Source organism: Homo sapiens, chromosome 19, assembly GCF_000001405.40.
Source record: "Homo sapiens chromosome 19, GRCh38.p14 Primary Assembly".
In the NCBI taxonomy this organism is placed as follows: Eukaryota; Metazoa; Chordata; class Mammalia; order Primates; family Hominidae; genus Homo; species Homo sapiens.
In genome coordinates this window covers 14,756,485-14,782,732 of record NC_000019.10, presented here as the reverse complement: position 1 = coordinate 14,782,732, position 26,248 = coordinate 14,756,485, and the positions used below count along the sequence as shown (strand labels likewise).

The window sequence follows — 26,248 nt, the reverse complement described above, 5'->3', positions numbered from 1 at the left end:
ACATGACCTTGTTCCCATGCTCCCATCTTTATCTTGCTGATTACCACCACTCTGAATATTCTTTGCACCTTATTCCTTTGCTCAGTTACTTATTTTTTTATTTTATTTATTTTTGAGACAGGGTCTTGCTCTGTCACCCAGGCTGGAGTGCAGTGGTATGATCACAGCTCACTGCCACCTCGAATTCCTGGGCTCAAGCCATCCTCCCACTTCAGCCTCCTGAGTAGCTGGGACCACAGGTGCGAGTCACCACACCTGGCGAATTTTTTATTTTTATTGTAGAGATGGAGGTCTCATTATGTTGCCCAGGATGGTCTCGAACTCCTGGGCTCAAGCAATCCTCCCGTCTCAGCATCCCCAAGTAGCTGGGATTACGAGCATGAACCACTGCGCCCGGCCCAGCCTTGTTTATTTTTATTTATTTATTTATATTTATGTATTTTTATTTTATTTTATTTTATTTAGACGGAGTCTCACTCTTGTCTCCCAGGCTGGAGTGCAGTGGCGCAATCTCAGCTCACTGCAGCCTCTGCCTCCCGGGTTCAAGTGATTCTCTTGCTTCAGCCTCCCAAGTAGCTGGGATTACAGGCACCCACCACCATACCCGGCTAATTTTTGTACTTTTAGTACAGACGGGGTTTCACCATGTTGGCCAGGCTGGTCTTGAACTCCTGACCTCAGGTGATCTGCCCACCTCGGCCTCTCTGGGATTACAGGCATGAGCCACCGCGCCCGGCAGCCTTGATTATTTTTTAAAGTCTTCTTGCATATGTTTGTATCCTGAAACCAAATCTTTTATTATCTTTGTATCTCAGCTTTTTTGCAAGGTGGCTTTTTCCTATGGGGCTTTGGAGACTTTTTCAAGATTCTAGTATGGAATCTGTCATGCTGCAATTTAAGATTTTTTTCTCCTGACTTCACTCAGTTTTTAAATTTAAAAAAGGAGTGTGGCTAGGCATGGTGGCATGCACCTGTAACCCCAGCATTTTGGGAGGCTGAGGTGGGCGGATCACTTGAGGGTCAGGAGATCGAGACCAGCCTGGCCAACATGGTGAAACCCCGTCTCTACTAAAAAATTAGCTGGGCGTGGTGGTGTGTGCCTGTAATCCCAGCTTCTAGGGAGGCTGAGGCAGGAGAATTGCTTGAAGCTGGGAGGCGGAGGTTGCAGTGAGCCGAGATCTCGCCACTGCACTCTAGCCTGGGTAACAGGGCAAGATTCCGTCCCCCTCACACACACACAAAAAAAGTGAAAAGTTAGCCAGGCATGGCAACATATGCCTGTAGTCCCAGCTACTTGGTAGGCTGAGGCAGGAGGATCACATAAGCCCAGGACGTGCAGGTTGCCTGAAGCCATAATTGTGCCACCGCCACTGTGCTCCAGCGTGGGCAACAGAGACCCTGTCTCTAAAATAATAACAATAAATTATACTAATATAATTAATAATACCATTATTATTGTTGGTTGGATAATCTTGGGTTGCTTCTTTTTTTTTTTTTTTTTTTTTTGAAACGGAGTCTGGCTCTATCGCCCAGGCTGGAGTGCAATAACGCGATCTCAGCTCACTGCAACCTACATCTCCTGGGCTCAAGCAATTCTCCTGCTTCAGCCTCCCAAGCAGCTGGGATTACAGGTAATCTTGGGTTACTTCTTAGCTGAGCAACCTGGGGCCAGGGGCCCCAAACCCCCAGGTTCCAGTTCCCCTTTTGACAAATGAGGACCATGTTCGCACCCCCCATCATTGCAGAGGTTGTCCAGAAGCTGCAAAATAGGTCAGCAGGACTGAGACTTCTGGACAAAGAGAAGGCGGAGAAACATAGGCAGACACCCCGGCAGGGACCAGATCAGCGAGGCTGAAGGAGGCTTCCTTTAGCTGGGCGGCAGCGGAGTGGAGTGGCAGGAGTACTACTAATTTGCATGGTTTACCATATAGGGCCCCACTCAGCACAGGCTCTGTGCTGGTGCTCTGCAGAGAAAAAGACAAAAGTCACTCAGGGGGCTGACAGCCTAATGCGGCTCGAGGGCAGATGGTTGCTAGGGAAGAAGGGAGATGGTGAGAAGTATTGGAGAGACTCAAGAAAGCCGCCAGGAATGGTGACTCACGCCTGTAATCCCAACGCTTTGGGAGGCTGAGGCGCGTGGATCATTTGAGGACAGGAGTTCGAGACCAGCCTGGCCAACATGGTGAAACCCTGTCTCCACTAAAAATACAAAAATTATCTAGATGCGATGGCAGGTGCCTATAATCCCAGCTACTCGGGAGGCTGAGGCAGGAGAATTGCTTGAACCCGGGAGGCAGAGATTGCAGTGAGACGAGATAGCACCACTGCACTCCGGCTTGGGTGACAGAGCAAGACTTCGTCTCAGAAAAAAGTAATAATAAATAATAATAATAATAATAAAATAAAAATTTAAAAAGAATGTTTCAGGCCGGGCATTGTGGTTCACGCCTGTAATCCCAGCACTTTTGGGATGCCAAGGCAGGCAGATCACTTGAGGCCAGAAGTTCGAGACCAGCCTGACCAACATAGCGAAACTCCATCTCTGCTAGAAATACAAAAATTAGCCAGGCGTGGTGGCTTGCACCTGTAATTCCAGATACTTGGGAGGCTGAGGCAGGAGAATCTCTTGAACCCAGGAGGCAGAGGTTGCTGTGAGCTGAGATCACATCACCACACTCCAGCCTGGGTGACAGAGCGAGACTCTGTCTCAAAATAAATAAATGAATGAACAAATAAATAAAATAAAATAAAAATACAAAAATTAGCCAGGTGTGGTGGTGGGCACCTGTAGTCCGAGCTACTCTGGAGGCTGAGGCAGGAGAATCGCTTGAACCCGGGAGGCGGAGGTTGCAGTGAGTCGAGATGGCGCCACTGTACTCCAACCTGGGCAACACCAGAGTCTGTCTCTAAAATACAGTAAAATAAAATTAAATTAAGAAGAGTCGATGATCACCATGAAGGGGTGTAGGGACAATCCCTGGCATCAGGAAGTGCCACTACCTCCCTGAGATTCTGCAGACGCCAGCTGTCTGACCTGCCCGTCTGATCTGCAGAGAAGGGACGTTGAGCCCTGGGGTTCTAGCTGGAGTTTCTGGCTTTCTGAGAAAAAAAAGGCAAAATCCCTCCAGACCTGGTCTGGCCCTCTCTCCTTCCAGCTTCTGCTGGTGTTCACTCCCCTCCCCCACAGCCCAGGCCACCCCCACAGGAGCCCGGGACAGGAAGGGGTAAATTCTAGGACTGTGGATGTTTGATTATTCCCAGGACAATAGTTCTCTGACTTCAGTCATTAGTGACTTTTTTCTCCATCGCTGCAATCTCCCCCTTTGAACAACTGAACTATATTTTCCTTAGCATTCATCACTTCTGCATCTTGAATTTACTCATGTAACAAGGAGACTTGATTTCGGCATCCTCACTGAAAAACCCTCCTCATTGCCCCAGATAGTAGGGAAACCTAAAAATAAATATAAATATGAGGAACACAAAACCAAGTCCTTGAATTCTGGCTGGATACAGACACCTGCTAAGCCTCAGGGTCACGGAGGCGCTAAAGACATGTTAGTGCCCAGTGGAGACTTTCCCCTGGGCTCATCGCAGGGACTCCAGGGCTGGGCTGCCGGCCTGTGGATCTGAGTCTCAGCTGGGTGAGTCACTTGTGCCTCAGTTTCCTCCTCTGTCAAATGGGAATGACAACATCATTGCAGATGTTTTAAGGAGTAAATGAGTTAATATAGATTAAAAAAAAAAAGCACTTAGGACCAGACCTGGTACAAATTAAGTGCTCCATAAATAATAGCATTTTCTTGGCAGGATAGCGAGATCTCGTCTCTACAAAAAAAAAAAACACTTAAGGAGAAAACTAGCCAGACGTGATGGTGCACAGCTGTAGTCCCAGCTCCTCAGGAGGCTGAGGCAGGAGGATCCCTTGAGCCCTGAAGTTTGAGGCTGCAGTGAGCTGTGATGGTGACCCTGCACTCCAGCCTGGGTGACAGAGTAAGATCTCTTAAAAATATATATAGCGTTTTAAAAAATGATTACGTACCTCAAGAGACAAGCTAATCATATGATTTATCCAGAAAGGAAAGAACCCTCCTATCACATGATTCTCTGTTGATTAACGAAGTGCCCAGGGGCCTCTGAAATATAAGTTTCCCACAGGAGGAAACTGGCTTAGAAAGACCAGAAAGATCCGGGGGGTCTGCTCTGTGCGGTGAAGCTTCTCTTCTTGGCACCTGCCTGGCATCGGAAGAGGGCCCCTTCTCCCTCCCTGGGCTTTTATGTGGACACTGTAATGCCTCAGTTTTCTTTCTTTCTTTTTGTTTTTGACACAGGGTCTCACTCTATCACCCAAGCTGGAGTGCAGTGGCACCATCTTAGCTCACCGCAGCCTCAAACTCCCCAGCTCGGGTGATTCTTCCTGCCTCAGCCTCCTGAGTAGTAGCAGCTGGGACCACAGACGTCTGCCACCAAGCCCAGGTAATTTTTTTTCTTTTTGAAGAAACAGAGCTTTGCCATGTTGCCCAGGCTGGTCTCAAACTCCTGAGCTCAAGCGATCCTCCTGCCTCGGCCTCCCAGAGTGCTGGGATCACAGGTGTGGAGAAATAGGAACGCTTTTACACTGTTGGTGGGAATGTAAATTAGTTCAACCATTGTGGAAGATAGTGTGGTGATTTCTCAAGGATCCAGAACTAGAAATACCATTTGACTCAGCGATCCCATTGCTGGGTATATACCCAAAGGATTATAAATCATGCTACTATAAAGACATATGCACATGTATGTTTATTGCGGTACTATTCACAATAGCAAAGACCTGGAATCAACCCAAATGTCCATCAATGATAGACTGGATTAAGAAAGTGTGGCACATATACACCAGGGAATACTATGCAGCTATAAAAAAGGATGAGTTCATGTCCTTTGCAGGGACACAGATGAAGCTGAAAACCATCATTCTCAGCAAACTAACACAGAAACAGAAAACCAAACACCACATGTTCTCACTCATAGGTGGGAACTGAGCAATGAGAACACCTGGACACAGGGCGGGAAACATCACACACTGGGGCCTGTCGGGGGGTGGGGGCCTGGGGGAGGGATTGCATTAGGAGAAATACCTAATGTAAATGACGAGTTGATAGGTGCAGCAAGCCAACATGGCACATGTATGCCTATGTATCAAACCTGCTCGTTGTGCACATGTACCCTAGAACTTAAAGTCTAAAAAATTTAATTAATTAATTAATTAATTAATTTAAAAAGAAAGAAAGAAACCGAGCTTCGCCATGTTGCCCAGGCTGGTCTCAAACTCCTGAGCTCAAGCGATCCTCCTGCCTCGCCCTCCCAGAGTGCTGGGATCACAGGCGTGAGCCTCTGTACCTGGCCTCAGTTTCCTCATCTGGAAAACAGCAGGGGAAGATACTGCCAGCTGGGACGCAGGCTCTGCCAACTCTGGCATGCCAAAGCTCTGGGCACAGGGTGAGCCCTACCAAAGTGGGAGCCCAGAGCTATTTCTGACAAGGCCCCTGCGTGCCTGCCCAGGGAAGAGCCAAGTGGCCCCAGGCGAGACCGCCCCGCCCGGCTGCCACACCTTCCCCTGCACAGCAGCCAGCCTGGAACACACAGAGGCCAGAGGGTTGGTCAGAGCCACATGGTGGAAACTCCAGCAGAGGGATTTTTAAAGCAGGTTGCACTTCATTCTTGCTGAGCGAGTACACGTGTGTGTGTGTGTGTGTGTGTGTGTGTGTGTGTGTGTGCAGCGCCCCTGGTTCTGTGTTTTTATTGTGCTTTCCTGCTGGCTTCCAGCTGCACCGCCAGTTCCGGGGAGGGCCCTGGGCCAGCGGCTGTCCGCCCCCCCTCCTTTATAAAGTCCTGGCCTCGGGACAGCCCGCACAGCTGCCCAGCCTGCGGAGACGGGACAGCCCTGTCCCACTCACTCTTTCCCCTGCTGCTCCTGCCGGCAGCTCAGCTGGAACCATGGGAGGCCGCGTCTTTCTCGTCTTTCTCGGTAAGTACTTTGGGGCCCCGCTGGGGGTGGTAGCGAGGAAGCTCCAGCGGGACCCCTTGGATGCGTCTGAGAAACGGGAGGCGCCGCTGGTGTCTGTGGGGCCGGCGATGGAGAAAGCCACATGGTCAAGCAGGCACTCACGGGCACACGGCGAGAGGGGCTGGTGGTGCTTGGGCACCCCCACACCCCGGCAGGAACTCCAGGGTGCTCTCGGAGCCTGCTACCCTGCCCGGAGGGATCCTCAAGCTTTCTACTGGAGCCAGTTTGGCATCTGCTCCATAAGAGGGGAAACTGAGGCACGGGGGAAGGAAAGGGGCAAAAAGTGAGTGCTAGGACCCCAGAGCCACTGCTCTTAATATAGCGCATAGAAAGACATGGGCGGGGGGCGGGGAAAATAGAGGCCAGGACTTCTCCACTGCAGGGTACCCCCAGCTTCTCCCTTCTTTCTCTCTCTCTCTCTGTCTTTCTCCTTCTGTCTCTCTTTCAGTCTCTCTATCTCCCTAATCTCCGTTTTCTCTCTACCTCTGCCTCTTTGTCTCTCTCTCTGGTGAACAACAAGGAGATCCCTAGGTCCCCATCTCTAAAGCCCCTGGTGACCTGAGGAGGGTCCCCCAGGACATGCCTTGGAAAGGGGAACTTCCTGAGTGCTGGGAACCGCAGCGCCACATGCACCCCAACAGGCGGCCACAGCGTTTTCCTGTGGGAGGGGCGCCCGGGGTGAAATATCACCACTGGGTTTCAGGATGGGCCGCCAGGGCTGGCGGCGGTTGTGGTGTGTGTGCACCTGTGTCCCTGAGGAAGCATGCGGTTCCAGGGCATCTTAGAGCCTGGGGGATCCAGCGCCATCATTTTTTTTTTTTTTTTTCTGAGGCGGAGCCTTGCTCTGTCGCCCAGGCTGGAGTGCAGTGGCACGATCTCAGCTTGCTGCAACCTCCGCCTCCTGGGTTCAAGCGATTCTCCTGCCTCAATCTCCCAAGTAGTTGGGTAACAGGAGTCTGCCACCACGCCCAGCTAATGTTTTGTATTTTTAGTAGAGACGGGGTTTCACCATATTGGGCAGGCTGGTCTCGAACTCCCGACCTCAGATGATCTGCCCACCTTGGCCTCCCAAAGTGCTGGGATTACAGTCCCGAGCCACCGTGCCTGACCATGCCTTCATTTTTATCTAAAGAAATGAAGATGGCAGTAAATGCTCAGGCACACCAGACAGCCCCCAAGTCAGAAGAGCGGCAGCTGGAGCTGAGACCCCCACCAGGCTCATGGCCCTTTCCTACTCCTCAGTTCCTTAAACCCCACCCCCAAGCCAAGCTAGGGAGGCTGAGGCAGGAGGATCGCTTGAGGCCAGGAGTTCAAGATCAGCCTGGGCAACAGAGCAAGACTCTGTCTCTAAAATAACTTTTTAAATTATTTTTAATTTTTTTGGCCAGGCGTGATGGCTCATGCCTGTAATCCCAGCACTTTGAGAGGCCAAGGCGGGCAGATCACCTGAGGTTAGGAGTTCAAGACCAGCCTGGCCAACATGGTGAAACCCCATCTCTACTTAAGAAATACAAAAATTAGCTGGGCATGGTGGGTCATGCCTGTAGTCCCAGCCACTCAAGAGGCTGAGGCAGGAGAACCGCTTGAACCCAGGAGGTGGAGATTGCAGTGAGCCAAGATTGCACCACTGCATTCCAGCCTGGGCAACAAAGGGAGACTCCATCTCAAAAAAAAATAAATAATAAAAATAAATAAATCATTTTAAAATTTTTGAGCTGGGAGCCGTGGCTCACACCTGTAATCCTAGCACTTTGGGAGGCCAAGGCCGGCAGATCACCTGAGGTCAGGAGTTCGAGACCAGCCTGGCCAATATGGTGAAACCCCATCTCACTAAAAATACAAAAAATTAGCCAGGCACCATGGTGGGTGCCTGTAGTCCCAGCTATTTGGGAGGTTGAGGCAGGAGAATTGCTTGAACCCAGGAGGTAGAGATTGCAATTAGCCGAGATCGCACCATTGCACTTCAGCCTGGGCGACAGAGCAAGACCCTGTCTCAAAAAGAAAGAAAGAAAATTTAAAATATGGCGGTACTCACCTGTGGTCCCAGCTACTCGGGAGGGTGAGGCAGGGGGATCGCTTGAGCCTAGGAATTGGAGGCTGCAGTGAGCTATAATCGCATCACTGCACCCCAGCCTGGGTGACCCAGAGAGACCCTGTGTCAAACAAAACAAAACAAAACCCACCCCCATGAGGACAGGGTGACAGACTCTCTGGCTTTGAGCATCCGAGTGGGACGTGACATCTGCTCACTCTGTTTGAACGATGGGCAGGATCTGAGCCTGAGAGGGGTCAGCATCCTCCTCCCACAAAGTGCATCACCCTTACGCCTCCTTTCCCACCCTGGGATCCCCTCTGACCCCCTTTCCTTTCTCTGTTGCAGCATTCTGTGTCTGGCTGACTCTGCCGGGAGCTGAAACCCAGGACTCCAGGGGTGAGTCTGCTGGGAAGCAGAAAGCACAGTCCACAGCCAGAGCCTGGGGAGGGTCCTGGACCCCCGCCCAGCCCCCTTCAGCCCAGGGAAAGAGAGGGCTCGTGCACGGGAAACTCAGCGCTCTGCCCCATCTCCCCCAGTGCCCCCTTTTTGTGTATTCCCTTACCCCTCACCTTCTGACCGTGCTCCCTGCTCTTGCAGGCTGTGCCCGGTGGTGCCCTCAGGACTCCTCGTGTGTCAATGCCACCGCCTGTCGCTGCAATCCAGGGTTCAGCTCTTTTTCTGAGATCATCACCACCCCCATGGAGACTTGTGACGGTACAGAGGCTTGAGGGCAGCGCAGGGGACATCTGCGATTATGAGGCATAGCCCAGTGCCAGTGGGGGACAGAGGTTGTTGTGAGGGGCCACAGCCTTACCTTCCAGACTATCATCATGGCCAGAGAAAAGAGAAAGAGGGCAGGTGTGGTGGCTCCCAGCACTTTGGGAGGCAGAGGCGGGTGGATCATTTGAGGCCAGGAATTCAAGACCAGCCTGGGCAACATGGTGAGACCCTGTCTCTACAAAAAATACACAAAATAGCCGCGCATGGTGGCACACATCTGGAGTCCCAGCTACTCAGAAGACTGAGGCGGGAGGATTGTTTGAGCCCAGGAGTTTGAGGTTGCAGTGAGCTATGATTGCACCATTGCACTCTAGCCTGGGCAACAGAGTGAGATCCTGTCTCAGGAAAAAGAAAGAAACAAAGAAAGAGGCCAGGTGTGGTGGCTCATGCCTGTAATCCCAGCACTTTGGGAGGGATTGTCTGGGCAACAGGAGCAAGACCCCATCTCAAAAAAAAAAAAAAAAGACAGAAAGAGAGAAGGAGAGAAAGAAAAGAGAAGAAAAGAAAAAGAGAGAGAGGGAGGGAGGGAAAGAAAAAGGAAAGGAGGGAGGGAGGGAGGGAGGAAAGAAGGAAGGAAGGAAGGGAGGAAAAAGGAAAAAATATGAAGGGGGAGAAGTAAGAAGTGAATAGGCATGGCTTCCTGGAGAGAGAGAAGCTGCGTGCTCAGGAATCTGGAGTCTGTGCCTCAGTTTACCGTTAAGACTGGGAAGGGGGTACATTCTGGCCATAGGTTTTTTTTTCTCCCTTATTTTTCTTTTTTCTTTTTTTTTTTGTTTTTTTTTTTTTTTTTTGAGATGGAGTCTCACTCTGTCGCTCAGGCTGAGGAGTGCAGTGGCGCGATCTCGGCTCACCGCAACCTCCACCTCCCAGGTTCAAGCGATTCTTCTGCCTCAGCCTCCCGAGTAGCTGGGATTACAGGCATGCACCACCATGCCCGGCTAGTTTTTGTATTTTTAGTAGAGATGGGGTTTTGCCCTGTTGGCAGGCTGGTCTCGAACTCCTGACCTCAAGTGATCTGCCGGCCTCGGCCTCCCAAAGTGCTGGGATTACAGGTATGAGCCACTGCACCCGGCTGCCATGGGGTTTAAATTTCTACAAAAAGACTGGGGATGGGGATATGGCGCTTCCTGTCCATCCCCCACCTCAGCACTGTCCACTGTGTCCAAATCTAGGATGCCAGCCAGAGAACTGAGATCAAGTGTGGTCTTCAGGAATGGCCTGCTCCAGCTGCAGCATAGCCTGTGCAGTGCAACTTGAGATCCTTTCCAAAAGATACTAAGCAGCAGGCCCCATGTTGGGGAGTCAGGACGGGGGTCTCTGCCCTGACGGAACTCACATCTTTGGGAGATGACCTCCTGTCCTGTTGTGTTCCAGACATCAACGAGTGTGCAACACTGTCGAAAGTGTCATGCGGAAAATTCTCGGACTGCTGGAACACAGAGGGGAGCTACGACTGCGTGTGCAGCCCAGGATATGAGCCTGTTTCTGGGGCAAAAACATTCAAGAATGAGAGCGAGAACACGTGTCAAGGTAAGAACCACCCCACATCCTCCATCACCACTGTCCATGAGGTTTGGGGTCACCAGAGCTGTTTCTGCAGCATCCAGGGAGCAGGTACCCAAGTATAGGTTCAGTTCCTGGAGTCTGAGATGAGACAGGTGTGCATGTACCTGTTTCGCCAGCCCAGAGAGGCAGCGTGGTGTGAAGGCCAAGGGAAAACTCTGGGACCAGCTACCTGGGCCCAAATCCTGGCTTTGCCACCTGTTACCTAAATGATATTACCAACATCACTACTGCTCTTAGAGCCTTGGTTTACCCATCTATAAAATGAGGATGATAATAATGGCCTACTCCTATGCCTTCTAGGAGGACCAAGGAAAGAATAGGTGCTTCTAACAGAGCCCAGCACACAGCAGGTGCTACAGGCATCTTCATTCTTTAAACGTTATTATGCACTGTAATCCCAGCACTTTGGGAGGCCGAGGCGGATGGATCACGGGGTCAGGAGATCGAGACTATCCTGGCCAACATGGTGAAACCCTGTCTCTACTAAAAGTACGAAAATTAGCCGGGTGCAGTGGTGGGTGCCTGTAATCCCAGCTACTCAGGAGGCTGAGGCAGGAGAATCACTTGAACCAGGGAGTCGGAGGTTTCAGTGAGCGGAGATCGTGCCACTGCACTCCAGCCTGGTGACAGTGCAAGACTCCATCTAAAATAAATAAATAAATAAATAAATAAATAAATAAATAAGCAATGGATGCCTTTTAGGAGTTGTTCAGACAAGCTGGGCTCCTGTGGGGCCACACTCCTGGCTGGCACTCAGAAGAAATCTATTTCGACACAGCCTGCCTCATCCCTTGCCATGGTCTTATTCCACACTGCAGCTCCAGCCCATGAGAAGCCAGGCCCCCATGCATCACTCTGCTTTGCCTTCTTTCCAGTGGGAACTAGTTGGGTGCGGGAGGGAGCTTCAGACATCTGCAAGGCCAGATGGGAACCAGTAGCAGGTGGACAGAGAAGGGAGATTAACACAGAGTACACAGAGTGGGAAGGGAAGGTGAGCAAAGGCAGGAAATGAAGAAGCTGAGGCTGAGCCAAGGGTCCCAGGGGACATTAAGGGGGTTCAGCAGACCTGCCCTGCTGTAAAGAGAAAAGTGGCAGTGCTCCTGTTCCCAGCCCTGTCCCTCCTGTTCTCCCTGCAGTCAGTAGAGCCTCCCTGGTGGGAGGAAAGTGAGGACAGAGCAGAGGTGTACGTTCTGAGAGCACGCAGCTGCATAGAGCCCAGCAGGGGGGCTGGTTCACAGGGGTCCCCTGTGAACAGATGCTACATTGCATGCACATATCTTGACCAAAGGACAGAGCCTTCCTGTGAATTAGAAAAAGGACTCTCCGGGCCAGGCACAGTGGCTCACGCCTGTAATCCCAGCACTTTGGGAGGCTGAGGCGGGTGGATCACCTGAGGTCAGGAGTTCAAGACCAGCCTGACAAACATAGTGAAACCCCATCTCTACTAAAAAATACAAAAGTTAGCCAGGCATAGTGGTGAGCACCTGTAATCCCAGCTACTCAGGAGGCTGAGGCAGGAGAATCACCTGAACCCAGAGGCAGAGGTTGCAGTGAGCCAGGATCTCAATATTGCACTCCAGCCTGGGTGACAGAGCAAGACTTTGTCTCAAAAAAAAAAAAAAAAAAAAAAAAAAAAGAAAAGAAAGAAACAAAAAGAAAAAGAGAAACAGAAAAGCCTCTCCTCTCCAGGTAGACACAGCCCCATTTGGGGAATGGAGAGGTTTTCAGCCTCTGCTCACCGCCTTGGCTGGGCATCCATATGTAGTCAGCAACCTACACAACTGTACGTGGTGGTCATGGGTCCTTGTCAGTGAGAGCCTCTGTTTTAGTCTATGTTGTGTTGCTATAAAGGAATACATGAGGCTGGATCATGTATAAAGAAAAGAAGCTGATTTGGCTCATGGTTCTGCAGGCCATGTAAGACACATGGCTCCAGCATCTGCTTCTGGTGAGGGCCTTAGGGAGCTTCCACTCTTGGCAGACGGGAAAGGGGAAGCTGGCATCCCATGGCAAGAGGAAGGAAGCAAGAGAGAAGGGAGGAGATACCAGGCTTTTTCCAACAAGCAGTTTTCATGGGAACTAACAAGGCGAGAACTCACTCATGACCCAAGGACAGCACCGAGATGTTCATGAGGGATCTGCACTCAGGACCCAAACACCTCCCACGAGGCTCCATCTCCAACACTGGGGATCACATTTCAACGTGAGATTTGGAGGGGACAAATATCCAAACTGTATCACCGCATGCACAGGTGGTGTTTGTAATTATTGAGGAGGTGTGTTGCCATGTTAGAAACAGGCCAGCACTGGCCGGGCGCAGTGGCTCATGCCTGTAATCCTAGCACTTTGGGAGGCCGAGGTGGGCGGATCACAAGGTCAGGAGATCGAGACCATCCTGGCTAACATGGTGAAACCCCGTCTCTACTACAAATACAAAAAAATTAGCTGGGCGTGGTGGTGGGTGCCTGTAGTCCCAGCTAATCAGAGACTGAGGCAGGAGAATGGCATGAACCTGGGAGGCGGAGCTTGCAGTAAGCCGAGATGGCACCACTGCACTCCAGCCTGGACGACAGAGCGAGACTCCGTCTCCAAAAAAAAGAAAAGAAAAGGAGAGAAGAGAAGAGAGAAAAGAAAAGAGGCCAACACTGAGAGAGGGGGCTTAGTTGGTGGATAGGCAGAGACACAGATGAGCAGGAATGAAGTGGGAGAGGGCTCTCATGGACCCCATCCGCACAGAACAGCCTGCTAGTTCGGAGCAGGACCTGCCTCTTGAAGCCTCAGCTCAGGGAAGGGCTCCGTGGGGCCCTGTCTGCATCCCCCTCACCCCTCAGCATTCTTGTTTTTTTTGTCTACCTGGTGTCACAGGCCTCATAGGCAGGAGACCTGGGGCCACTCCCTCAGCTCCTTGCCCCACTTACTCCAGGCATCACAGGGCCGTCCCAAACACCTGGTCACCTGTCGCTATCCAAACCTCAAGGTTCAGAACCCTCCACAGAGGGTCACTTCCAAAAGCTCAGAACATCCCCCTGCCCATCTGGCATCTTATTTGTTTGTTTTGTTTTGTTTTATTAGTAAAGATGGGGGGGGGGTGTCTCACCATGTTGTCCAGGCTGGTCTCGAACTCCTGGCCTCAAGTGATCCGCCCGTCTCAGCCTCCCAAAGTGCTGGGATTGCAGGCGTGAGCCACCATGTCCGACCTGGTATCTTATTTGTACAAAACAAAAAGGGGGCTGGCACTCAGGATATTCGATGAGCTCACTGCGTGGTGCATTCCAGCGCAGTATCCATTCTCTCTGCTATCATCAGCGACTGCCAGGATGAGACAGTCTCCACACAGCTCTGCTCACCTGGAACTCTCTCTGATCCCCCAGCTCATCATGGACCCAGGCACCCTGTCCAGAAATGAAGGAGGAGGGAGATTTGAAGGCAGGGCCACTGTCCCCAGTCGAACCTGCCACTGGCCAACAACCCCACCTGGAGAAGATGCCTCGTGGAGCCCTGACCTCTTTTTCTGCCACTCAGTCTCTGTCCCTTTCACTGAGCGAGACTGCCCTGACCCTTCCTGATAGTTTTGGTCCACCTGAGTGCACTGGAGGATGTTGTGGCTAACGGTGGGCACAGTGACATGGACTCCCCATACTTGGAGAGTTGAGTGAATGGAAGAGGCACTAGTGTGGACCCAATGGCAAGAGAGGTTAACATCAGGGCCATTGCTCCAAGCCTGATCCTCTCCCAGGAGGTCAACCCAGATCCCATGGGAGTGGAACCATTCAGAAATAGGTCTGTGTCCCTGGTGGAATGCCAAGAGATGAGATGACAGATACACCTCCATCTTTGCCCATCAGCATCTGTGCCCCTCTCCAGCCACTAAACCTTCACCCAGGGCCAGTCTTTCTCAGCTATGGATTCTCACTACATCCTGCCATTTCCAAGACACCTTCCTGAGGATCAAAAAAAGGCACCTTCACAGCCCTGGGGCAACCCAGCTGTATGTCGGTCCCCACTGTCCACCCTGGCCTGGGACCCACTGTCCAGGCAGCCCTGGCCTATGCAGCACCAGACTCATGCTCCCCTGGGGACTGGCTCAGGGGCCAGTCTTGGTCCATGTGCCTGGAGCTGGGCTCTCAGAGCTAGTGTGGATGGGAGAGCACCATCCTGCTAGGGCCACCGGGATTCTGATAACTCAGCCAGTGAGCAGCTGTCCTGGGGAAATCAAGGCCACCAGAAGCAGATGCTGGAGCCATGCATCTTACACAGCCTGCAGAACCATGAGCCAAATAAACTTCTTTTCTTGCAACACAAAACGGACTAAACCAGAGGGTTCTCACTGAGAAGGACCCATGACCACCATGTACAGTTGCATAGGCTGCTGACTGCATATGGATGCCCAGCCAAGAGGGTGAGCAGAAGCTGAAAACCTGCCTACTCTCCATTCCTCAAATATGACTGTGACTACTTGAAGAGGAGATGCCTTTTTCCAATTCACAGGAAGGCTCTGTCCTTTGGCCCAGGACTGCCACTGGGAACCAAGACAGGTCCTACCTGGGCAAGCAGCATGCCCCCTGCACTTGGTCCCAAGAAAATCCCACCCTGACCTTTGTCCTGAATCCTCAGGCTGGGACATCCCTGCCCCAGCTGGGAGCTGCCCAGGGAGGCAGGGGAGATGGGGAGGACTCAGATGCTTCCAGCCATATCTGAACAACAGAAGGCCTGGGCCACCATGCTCACCATGGGACACCTCTGTGTGGATTAGAAAAGGGAGGAGATGGCCAGGCATGGTGGCTCATGCCTGCAATCCCAGCACTTTGGGAGGCCGAGGTGGGCTGATCACGAGGTCAGGAGATCAAGACCATCCTGGCTAACACGGTGAAACCCCGTCTAATACTAAAAATACAAAAAATTAGCCGGGCATGGTGGCGGGCGCCTGTAGTCCCAGCTATTCGGGAGGCTGAGGCAGGAGAATGGCGTGAACCCGGGAGGCGGAGGTTGCAGTGAGTTGAGATCAGGCAATTGCACTCCAGCCTGGGTGACAGAGCAAGACTCCGTCTCAAAAAAAAAAAAAAGAAAGAAAGAAAAGAAAAGGGAGCAGACAGTGGTGCCTTCCAGATGCTTCCGTGCCAGGAAACATGGCGGACCCTCAGCCCCGAAAGCTGCTCACAGCTACGGGCATTCTTCACCCTCTCCTTCCTCTTGCAGATGTGGACGAATGTCAGCAGAACCCAAGGCTCTGTAAAAGCTACGGCACCTGCGTCAACACCCTCGGCAGCTACACGTGCCAGTGCCTGCCTGGCTTCAAGCTCAAACCTGAGGACCCGAAGCTCTGCACAGGTAGAGGCCCCAGGAAGACGCTGTGAGGCTGGACGGGAGCTGGGGATGGAGCTGAGTCAGGTCCTCCAAAGCAGCCGAGGAGGAGGGAGAAGATCCGCAGGTTCCCACAAGGTCAAGGACCTGCTAAGCCCCTGCCTAAGGATTCACCTCCCAGGAAGGACTCGCCACACGGCAGGGAGGCGGCAGGGCCTTCAGGGCTTGGAGTGCCCTTGTGGGCCCCCAGACCTCACCCCTTCCTCATCTGTCACGTGCGAGTGGAAGAAGGTGTCACTTCCAGTTCTAAGAAGGGGAACCTCCACCATAGTGAGGGAGGGAGCAGGAGAGAGATTTTAGTCAGAAAGTCCAGCTCCCATGACTCAGTTTCCCTTTTGGTTTCACCTCCTATAAACTGGGGACCATGGTCCCTGCTGTGCCCATCTGGTAGGAAGACCATCATAAGATGCTTTGAAGGTGAAGTTGAAGGTCACCAAGTGGTGGCACGTGCAATAATGGTCTTCAGTCTGAGGCAATGAAAAGATAGGGGAGTGGGTGCAGTGAGTGGAGGGCAGGCCCAGGCTGGTCAGGGACAGGGTTTGACCCTCTGGCTTTGTCCTCAGATGTGAATGAATGCACCTCCGGACAAAACCCATGCCACAGCTCCACCCACTGCCTCAACAACGTGGGCAGCTATCAGTGCCGCTGCCGCCCGGGCTGGCAACCGATTCCGGGGTCCCCCAATGGCCCAAACAATACCGTCTGTGAAGGTCGAGAGCTCAGATCCCACGTTCCCAGAGACCCACAAACATCTGATCACATGTTCAACGGCGCCCACACAAACCAAGCAGAATGAGCGCTGGAGGCGCCCGACTGTGTCAGGCGTTCATTCTTCTGAGGCTAGATGAGAAAAGAGCAAGGGTCCTGCGGAAGGAGCTGGGGTACTGAGGGGGGAGGCTCAGGGGGACCCCAGGCAACAGCTGATGACTCACTGGGAGGAAGGCGTTTCACCATATTCATAACCTGCTCATCTGCACGGGGCCCACCTGCTGTGCCCAGGCCTCTCCACGCTTCCATAACCCAGCGTCCACCTCTCCAAGGGGGGCACTAATGCCGGGAGGAACGAGCTGGGGGCACAGACAGGAGACAGGACCCTCTCCAGGCTGGGACAGGACCTGACCCCCTTCTTCCTGTCCTCAGATGTGGACGAGTGCAGCTCCGGGCAGCATCAGTGTGACAGCTCCACCGTCTGCTTCAACACCGTGGGTTCATACAGCTGCCGCTGCCGCCCAGGCTGGAAGCCCAGACACGGAATCCCGAATAACCAAAAGGACACTGTCTGTGAAGGTATGACCTGGCCCTAGAAGCTCCCCACCCCCAGCACACACACTGACACGCTCCCGCCTAATGAGCCGCTTGTCTTGTTCCCTACAGATATGACTTTCTCCACCTGGACCCCGCCCCCTGGAGTCCACAGCCAGGTGAGTGGCCCCCACAGGGACGAGGCGGCGGGAACTCCATCCACACAGCACTGCATCCGTCTCCTTGTTCTAAACTTCCCACCCGCCGTCCAGGCTCTCTGACCCCCACATCTCCTCTCTCTGCAGACGCTTTCCCGATTCTTCGACAAAGTCCAGGACCTGGGCAGAGACTACAAGCCAGGCTTGGCCAATAACACCATCCAGGTAAGGACAGGACCCAGGGCAAGGGGGCGAGGCAGGAAGGTGGCTGCATCCCACAGAGGCCTGGGGCAGTTTGGGTCTGGGAGGGGACAGGACCCAATGCAGTGGGTGCTGGTCTGACTCCCAGCATCTTTCAGGGCTGGTGGAAGCTAATGGACACCCAAGTGCACTTAATATCTTTCCTCTTGCTTTCCCTGGACTTTGGGTTTAGGTCAGCATTGATATTGCACAGAAGTGTTGGCCTCTGAGGGGCCATAACCAGAGTCAAGGATCACCTAGGGAATCCCATCCAATGTCATTTTTTTTTTAGACGGAGTCTCACTCTGTCGCCAGTCCAGAGTTTAGTGGCCCGATCTCAGCTCACTGCAGTCTCTGCCTCCCGGGTTCAAGCGATTCTCCTCCCTCAGCCCCCTGAGTAGCTAGGATTACAGGCACACGCCACCACGCCCGGCTAATTTTTGTATTTTTAGTAGAGACGGGGTTTCACCATGTTGGCCAGGATGGTCTCGATCTCCTGACCTTGTGACCCACCCTCATCGGCCTCCCAAAGTGCTGGAATTAGAGGCGTGAGCCACCGCGCCCAGCCGCCAATGCCATCTTCATCCCCCAGATAGACAGTCTCTAGGATCTGTTCCCTGGGGCTGAGCGGTTGGAGTCTTCATGCGGGCCCTCTGGCCCATGGCTCACTAGGTCTGTGTCCACATCCCTCCAGAGCATCTTACAGGCGCTGGATGAGCTGCTGGAGGCCCCTGGGGACCTGGAGACCCTGCCCCGCTTACAGCAGCACTGTGTGGCCAGTCACCTGCTGGATGGCCTAGAGGATGTCCTCAGAGGCCTGAGCAAGAACCTTTCCAATGGGCTGTTGAACTTCAGTTATCCTGCAGGCACAGGTAGGTCCCTGGGTCTGCCCCAGACTCCAGCTCTGCATGTTTTCTGTCTCCTTCCTTTCCCAGTCCCACCAGAGCCAAGTGACCACACCTGTATATCAGTGTTACTCTCATCGACAAACTAAAATAAGAGATTAAAAAGAAATACATACCAGTCTGGACAAGATGGCAATACTCAATCTCTACAAAAAAAAAAAAATCTTTTAAATTAGACAGATGTGATGGCACAACTGTGGCCCCAGCTAGTTGGGAGGCTGAGGTGAGAGGATCGCTTGAGCCCAGGAGGTTGAGTCTGCAGTGAACTATGATTGCATCACTGTACTCCAGCCTGGTTCACAGGGCAAGACCCCATCTCAAAAAAGAGAAGACGAAGAGGAGGAGGAGGAAGAAGAAGAAGAAGAGAAGGAGGAGGAGGTGAAGAGGAGGAGGAGGATAAAGAGGAAGAAAAAGGAGGAAGAGGGCAGGAGGGGGAGGACAGAAGGAGGAGGACAGGAGGAGAGGAGGGGAGGAGGAAGAGGAGGAAAGAGGATGGGAGGAGGAGGACAAGAGGAAGAGGACGGGAGGAGGAGGACAGGATGGGGAGGAGAGGAGGAGGAGAGAAGGAGGAGGAGAGGAGGAAGAGGAGGAATGGAGAAAGAGAGGAGGAGGAGAAAAGGAGGAGGAGAGGAGGAGGAGGAGAGGAGAAGGAGGAGGAATGGAGGAGGAGAGGAGGCAGAGGAAGATAGGAGGAGGAGAAGGAGAAGAGGAGGAGAAGAGAAGGAGGAGAGGAGGAGGAGACGAGAAAGAGCGGAGGAGAGGAGGAGAGGAGGAGGAGCACAGGAGGAGGAGGAGAGGAGTAGAGGAAGAAGGAAGAATAGAAAGAAGGAAAGGAAAGGAAAAAGAAATGCATAAATAACATGCATTTTCATTGTAATATGAATTATCAGCAGTAAATAATTATGATGAAGAATTTAAAATAACAAAATAGAAATCACTTCAAAAGAGAACAATTTATTTAATTTGGAATACTATAAATTAATATCATTTGATCTCTAAGTATGATTTCTTTCTTGTTTGTTTTTGTTTGTTTTGTTTTGTTTTGTTTTGTTTTTTTGAGACAGAGTCTCACTCTGTCGCCCAGGCTGGAGAGCAGTGACGTGATCTCGGCTCACTGCAAGCTCCGCCTCCTGGGTTGACAGCATTCTCCTGTCTCAGCCTCCCGAGTAGCTGGGACTACAGGTGCCCGCCACCACGCCCAGCTAATTTTTTGTATTTTTAGTAGAGACGGGGTTGCACCGTGTTAGCCAGGATGGTCTCTCGATCTCCTGACCTTGTGCATAATCCACTTGCCTCGGCTTCCCAAAGTGCTGGGATTACAGGCGTGAGCCACCACGCCCGGCCTGCATAATAATTTTTAAAGCATGAAAATGCATATAGCATTAATTTTATTAAGATAAAATTCACATAACATCAAGTTCACCACTTTAAAGTGTCTGTTTCACGTGGGGCGTGCCTGTAATGCCAGGCGCTCACACCTGTAATCCTAGCACTTTGGGAGGCTGAAATGGGTGGATCACTTGAGGTCAGGAGTTCAAATCCAGCCTGGCCAACATAGTGAAACCCCATCTCTACTGAAAATACAAAAATTAGACAGGCGTGGTGGTGCACACCTGTAATCCTAGCTACTCAAGAGGCTGAGGCAGGAGAATCACTTGAGCTTGGGAGGCAGAGGTTGCAGTGAGCCAAGTTTGCACCACTGCACTCCAGACTACGTGAGACAGAGTGCCACTCCATCTCAAACAAAAAAATTAAAATTAAAAATAAAAATAAGAAAAAATTTTAAAAGCGTGTGTTTCGGTAGAATCTAGTATATTCAGAAAGTTATACAACCGTCACCTCTATTTCTAAAATGCTTGCATCAGCCCAAAAGTGAACACTGCACATGGTAAGCAACCACTCCTCATTCCTCCCTTCCTCCAACCCATGGCAGCCGCTAATCTGCTTTCTGTTTCCATGGATTTTCCTAATCAGGATATCTCACATAAATGGAATCATACAATATGTGACCATCTAGTCTAGCTCCTTTCACCTAGCATAATGGTTTTGAGGTTCATGCATGCCATAGCATTTATCAATATTTCATTCTTTTTCATGGCTGAATACTATTCTATTGTATGAATACATCACTTTTTTTTTTTTTATCCATCCATCCATTGATGGACATTTGGGTTGTTTCCACCTTTTGGCTGTTGACAAAAAGAGTCAAACTCTGTAAAATATTTGAAGAGATTTATTGTGAGCTAAATATGAATGTATGACTGACCATGGCCCGTGACACAGCCCTCAGGAGCCCCTGAGAACATATTCCCAAGTGAAGTGGTGTTGTTTTCTGGGGTAATACCTGAGGTTCATTGCCTCATGCCAAGAAAATTAAGGACACAGACACACACCAGGAGTGAGTTTATGAGTGGAGGTTTAATAGGCAAAAGAAAGAGAAAGGAGAACAACTCTCTCTCTTGTGAGAGAAAGGAATGCCCAAATGGGACTTCCCACCCATGCCAGAGGGCACCGGATTTTATAGACAGGCTTGAGGAGGCAGTGTCTAATTTACATAGGGCCCAAAGATTGGTTGGAACAGGTGTGACGTTTACATAAGGTGCAGGGAAGCTGGCTGCCCCACCCTAATCTTATTATGCAAATGGAGTCTTCGCCAGCTCCTTACTGTATACGTGGTTGGCAAAGAGATGGGAAGATGGAGCCGCCATTTTCAACATGCCTAGTCCCAGGTGGCCTTTTCCTATTGGCACAGCTGCCAGCATTCACCTGTGCAGGCTTCCAGCTTGCTTGCCTATGTCTGCAGCTCGATTTTACAGGCTGCTCTTTGTTAGAAAAAAAAAAAATGATATAGGGGCTGATTTTCATTAAAAGGAAAGACTTACCCAGGACTTCCTTACCCACACTCTCTGCCTAAATAATTCCTTTTTAACTTCTATATCACAAGGTAGTCGTGGTACAGCTTGTTGTGATTGTTGTTGTTGTTGTCTTCTGTTGGAGACAGAGTCTTGCTCTGTCAACCAGGCTGGAGTGCAGTGGTGCGATCCTGGCTCACTGTAGACTCCACCTCCCGGGTTCAAGCGATTCTCCTGCCTCAGCCTCCCAAGTAGCTGGGACTACAGGCGCCCGCCACCACGCCCGGCTAATTATTTTGTGTGTTTTCAGTAAAGACAGGGTTTCGCCATGTTAACCAGGATGGTCTTGATGTCCTGACCTCGTGATCCGCCTGCCTCGGCCTCCCAAAGTGCTGGGATTACAGGCGTGAGACACCACGCCTGCCCCCGCAACTTGGTTTTATACATTTTAGGGGGACATGAGACATCAATCAAATATGTTTAAGCTATACATTGGTTCAGTCCAGAAATGCAGGACAATTTGAAGTGGAGGTGTGGGGCGGGTGCTTCCAGATTATAGGTAGATTTAAGCTTTTCTGATTGGCAGTTGGTTGAAGGAGTTATTATCCATAGAAAAGAATGTCTGGAATACGATAAGGGGCTGTAAAGGCTGAAGTTGTATCATCCAGATGAACTCTTCAGGTATCAGGCTTCAGAGAGAATAGATGGTAAATGTTCCTTATTAAGCTTCAGGTCTGTGTTATGTTAAATGCTGGTCAGCTTTTCCTCAACTCCAAAAGGGAGGAGGGCATGACACATGTCAGACCCCCCACTTCCCACCATAGCCTGAACTAGTCTTTCCAGTTAAATTTAGAGTGCCCTGGCCAAAAAGGAAGTCCATTCAGATGGTTTTGAGGGGGGCGGGAGAGGACTTCGAATTTTTTTTTTTTGTTTAGATGGCTGGTGTGAATAGTGCTCTTATGAATATTAGTGGACACATTTTGGGTTGAATAACTGTCTTCAGTTCTTTGGGGTATATACTAAGGAGTGGAATTGCTGGGTGATATGGTAATTCTATGTTCAGCTTTTGGAGGAACCACCAAACTTTTTCCAAAGCAGCTGCATCATTCTAATTCCCCACCAGAAACATACACGGGTTATCCTCTCCACACCTTCAGCAAAACTTGTTACTTCCGTTTTCTTTTGTTCTGTTTTTAATTGCTTTTATTGATACATAAATCTTACATATTTATGGGTACATGTGATACTTTGTTGCTTGCCTAGAATGTGTAACGATCAAGTCAGGGTATCTCAGGTATCCACCACTTTGAGTACTTATCATTTGTATGTGTTGGGAACAATTGAAGTCCTCTTTTGTAACTACTTTGAAATACATCATACAGTCTTGTTAATTATAGTCACTCTGCTCTGCTGTCAAACAATAGAACTTGGGCCGGGCACGGTGGCTCACGCCTGTAATCCCAGCACTTTGGGAGGCCGAGGTGGGAGGATCACGAGGTCAGGAGATCGACACCATCCTGGCTAACAGGGTGAAACCCCATCTCTACTAAAAATACAAAAAATTAGCCAGGCGTGGTGGCGGGTGCCTGTAGTCCCAGCTACTCGGGAGACTGAGGCAGGAGAATGGCGTGAACCTGGGAGGCGAAGCTTGCAGTGAGCCAAGATGGTGCCACTGCACTCCAGCCTGGGTGACAGAGTGAGACTCCGTCTCAAAAAAAAAAAAAAAAAAAAATCTGCTTAATAAGCGGAGAGGTGGCTGGCTTGGTGGCTCACACCCGTAATCCTAGCACTTTGGGAGGTCAAGGCAGGCAGATCACCTGACATCAGGAGTTTGAGCCCAGCCTGGCCAATATGGTGAAACCCTGGCTATTAAAAATACAAAAATTAGCTGGGCTTAGTGACACGTGCCTGTAATCCCAGCTACCTGGGAAGCTGAGGCAGGAGATTCGCTGGAACCCAGGAGGCAGAGGCTGCAGTGAGCTGAGATCGTGCCACTGCACTCCAGCCTGGGTGACAGAGTGAGACTCCGTCTAAAAAAAAAAAATATATATATATATATGTATAACTTATACTTTTTGTCTAACTGTATGTCTCTACCTGTTAACTCACCTCTCTTCATCCCAGTGATACAGGAGTGAAAAAGAAATTATTTAGGCAGTTAGCAAGGGTCAGAGAGTCCTCAGTAAGGTTTCCCTTTTAATAAAAACCAGCCCCCAAATCATTTCTTTTCTAATAACGAGCAGCCTGAAAATTCGAGCTGCAGACATAGAAAAGCAAGCTGGAAGCTTGCACGGGTGAATGCCGGCAGCTGTGCCAATAGGAAAAGGTTACCTGGGGGCCCGACATGTTCAACGTGGGGGCTCCCTCTTCCTTTATCTTTGTCAACCACGTGTACAGTACAGAAGCAGGCAACGTGGAGCCAGCCAGGTAGAGAATCCATTTGCATAATAAAAGATTAGGCTGGGGCAGCCAGTTTCTTCATGCTGTATGTAAATGGCTCACCTGTTCAGACCAATCTTTAAGCCTTATGTAAATCGGACACCGCCTACCCAAGCTCATCTATAAAACTTCGTGCATTTCACCACGCAACCGGAAGACCCACTTGGGAGCCCCTGTCTCTCTGCAGGAGAGGGAGTTATTCTCTTTTTCCTTTTTTTTTTTTTGAGACGGAGTCGTGCTGTGTCCCGCAGACTGCAGTGCAGGGGCGCGATCTCGGCTCACTGCAAGCTCCGCCTCCCGGGGTCACGCCATTCTCCTGCCTCAGCCTCCGGAGTAGCTGGGACTACAGGCGCCCACCACCATGCCCAGCTAATTTTTTTGTATTTTTAGTAGAGACGGGGTTTCACCGTGTTATCCAGGTTGGTCTCGATCTCCTGACCTCGTGATCCTCCCGCCTCAGCCTCCCAAAGTGCTGGGATTACAGGCGTGAGCCACTGCGCCCAGCCAGAGCTATTCTTTTTTTCTTTCGCCTATTAAATCTCCACTCTTAAACTAACTTCTTATGTGTCCACATCCTCAATTTCCCTGGTGTGAAACAGTGAAACTTGGGTATTTACACCACTTCACTAGTGAGATGATACCTCATTGTGGTTTTGATTTGCCCTTCCCTGATAACTAATGATGTTTAACATCTTTTCATGTGTTTGCTCACCATTTGCATGTCATTTTTGGAGAAATGTCTATTCAAATCCTTTGCCTATTTTTAATTGTGCTGTTTGTCTTTTGGTTGTCCAGTTGTAAGCATTCTTTAAACATTCTGATAGTAGATCATCTGAGATGAATGATTTGCAAAATATTTTCTCCCGTTCTGTAGATTGTCTTTTCATTTTCTTGTCTTTTCACTTTAATGAATAGAAGTTTTAAATCTTGAAGACATTTATTTTATCTAATTTTTCTTTTGTTGCATGTGCAATTGGTGTCATATTTAAGAATTCATTGACAGGGGGTGGTGGCTCACGCCTGTAATCCCAGCACTTTGGAAGGCCAATGTGGGCGGATCACCTGAGGTCAGGAGTTTGAGACCAGCCTGGCCAACAAGGCGAAACCCTGTCCTTACTAAAAATAAAAATAAAAATAATTAACCAGATGTGTTGGCACATGACTGTAATCCTAGCTACTCAGGAGGCTGAGGCAGGAGAATTGCTTGAACCTGGGACACGGAGGTTGCAGTGAGCTGAGATTGTGCCACTACACTCCAGCCTGGATGACAGAGCAAGACTCTGTCCCAAAAATAAAAATAAAAAAAGAATTCATTACCGCATCCAAGACCAGGAAGATTTACCCCTGTTTCCTCCTAAGTGTTCTAGTTTTAGCTTCTAAGCTTAGGTCACTGGCTTATTTTGAGTTAATTTTTGTTTGTTGTGTGAGGGTAGGGTTAAAACTTCCTTATTTTCATGTTACTATCCAGTAATCCCAGCACTATTTGTTGAAGAGATTATTCTTTCCCCCATTGTATAGTCTTGGCACCCCTTGTTGAGAATCAACTGACCATAAGATGGATGGGTTTATTCCTGGACTCTCAATTCTATTCTGTTGTGTCCTTATGCCAGTATTACTGTCAGTTTGTAGTAAGTTTTGGAATCAGGTAGTGTGAATTCTCCAACCTTCTTGTTCTTCTTCAAGATTGTTTTTGGGTATTTGGATTCCTTACAACACCATATGAATTTTAAGATGAACTTTTCTTATTCTGCAAAGTAATAATAGGCTAAAATATTGATAGGGATTGCATTGAGTCTCTAGACCACTTTGGGGGAGTATTGTTATCTTAACAATAGAAAGTCTTCCAATCCATGAACATAGGCTGTCTTTCCATTTAGAGAGGGCCTTTTATTTCTTTCAAACACTTTTGTAGGCCAGAAGCAGTGGCTCACGCCCAATATTGTCAGAGGCCACCAAGGTGGGAGAATTGCTTGAGCCCAGGAGTTCAAGCCCAGCCTTGGAAATATACTGAAACATGATCTCCACAAAAAATTTAAAAATTAGCTGGCTGTGGTAGTGAGCACCTGTAGTGCCAGCTACTTGGGAGGCTGAGGTGGAAGGATTGGTTGAGCCCAGGAGACTGCAGTGAGCTATGATCATGCCACTGCACTCTAGCCTGACCAACAGGTGAGAATTTGTCTCAAAAAAAAAAAAATACTCAAAAAACTTTCCTATAAGTCTTGAGTCTCCTTCGTAAAATGTATTCCTAACATTTTTGCTGAAAATTTTTGCATCTATGTCCATAAGAAATATTGGTCTATAATTTTATTTTCTTGTGATGTCTTCATCTGGTTTTGTTATCAGAGCAATATTAGACTCATAAAATTACTTAAATAGTGTTTCCTCCTCTTCCATATTTTTAAAAAGGTAAAAGATTCATGTTCATTCTTTCTTAAGCTATTGGTAGAACTCACCAGTGAAGTCATCTGGTCTGGGCTGTTAGTTTTGAGAGGTTTTGATTACTGATTTAATCTGTTATAGGTCTGTTCAGATCTTCTATTTCTTCTTGAGTTGATTTCAGTGGTTTGTGTGTCACTAGGAATGTGTCCATTTCATCTAGGTTACCTACTTTGTAGATATACAGT

General features: G+C 49.9%; 1 protein-coding gene across 28 annotated transcripts in view, besides 4 other annotated features; it reads left to right on the top strand.

Annotated features, from left to right (window-relative positions):
- ADGRE2 (adhesion G protein-coupled receptor E2) overlaps positions 4,173-26,248 on the top strand; it is a 54,390-nt gene continuing 32,314 nt past the window's right edge. For 9 of the 28 annotated variants that reach the window (XM_047438720.1, XM_047438724.1, XM_047438721.1 and 6 more), the window contains exons 1-10: positions 5,806-6,007; positions 8,427-8,477; positions 8,679-8,795; positions 10,236-10,391; positions 15,624-15,755; positions 16,352-16,498; positions 16,929-17,075; positions 17,163-17,209; positions 17,336-17,413; positions 18,123-18,300. In XM_047438720.1, coding sequence (XP_047294676.1) covers positions 5,977-6,007; positions 8,427-8,477; positions 8,679-8,795; positions 10,236-10,391; positions 15,624-15,755; positions 16,352-16,498; positions 16,929-17,075; positions 17,163-17,209; positions 17,336-17,413; positions 18,123-18,300 — 1,084 coding nt within the window. In that variant the 5' untranslated portion in view covers positions 5,806-5,976. Of the gene's footprint in view, positions 4,477-5,805; positions 6,008-8,426; positions 8,478-8,678; positions 8,796-10,235; positions 10,392-13,858; positions 14,827-15,623; positions 15,756-16,351; positions 16,499-16,529; positions 16,670-16,928; positions 17,076-17,162; positions 17,210-17,335; positions 17,414-18,122; positions 18,301-26,248 lie in introns of those variants that run through there. The other 19 variants (XM_047438731.1, XM_047438732.1, XM_047438723.1 and 16 more) reach the window with 9 other exon arrangements.
- Positions 6,637-6,696: an enhancer, noted in NCBI's record as "active region_14179". NCBI's record gives its function as "activates an Ori minimal core promoter by ATAC-STARR-seq in GM12878 lymphoblastoid cells {active_cell/tissue: GM12878}" and the evidence as "EXISTENCE:reporter gene assay evidence [ECO:0000049][PMID:35858748]".
- Positions 8,733-9,234: an enhancer, noted in NCBI's record as "H3K4me1 hESC enhancer chr19:14884311-14884812 (GRCh37/hg19 assembly coordinates)". NCBI's record gives its function as "activates a minimal SCP1, AML or CMV promoter by ChIP-STARR-seq in naive H9 embryonic stem cells {active_cell/tissue: H9 hESC(naive)}" and the evidence as "EXISTENCE:reporter gene assay evidence [ECO:0000049][PMID:30033119]".
- Positions 22,971-23,496: an enhancer, noted in NCBI's record as "NANOG-H3K27ac-H3K4me1 hESC enhancer chr19:14870049-14870574 (GRCh37/hg19 assembly coordinates)". NCBI's record gives its function as "activates a minimal SCP1, AML or CMV promoter by ChIP-STARR-seq in naive H9 embryonic stem cells {active_cell/tissue: H9 hESC(naive)}" and the evidence as "EXISTENCE:reporter gene assay evidence [ECO:0000049][PMID:30033119]".
- Positions 23,497-24,020: an enhancer, noted in NCBI's record as "NANOG-H3K27ac-H3K4me1 hESC enhancer chr19:14869525-14870048 (GRCh37/hg19 assembly coordinates)". NCBI's record gives its function as "activates a minimal SCP1, AML or CMV promoter by ChIP-STARR-seq in naive H9 embryonic stem cells {active_cell/tissue: H9 hESC(naive)}" and the evidence as "EXISTENCE:reporter gene assay evidence [ECO:0000049][PMID:30033119]".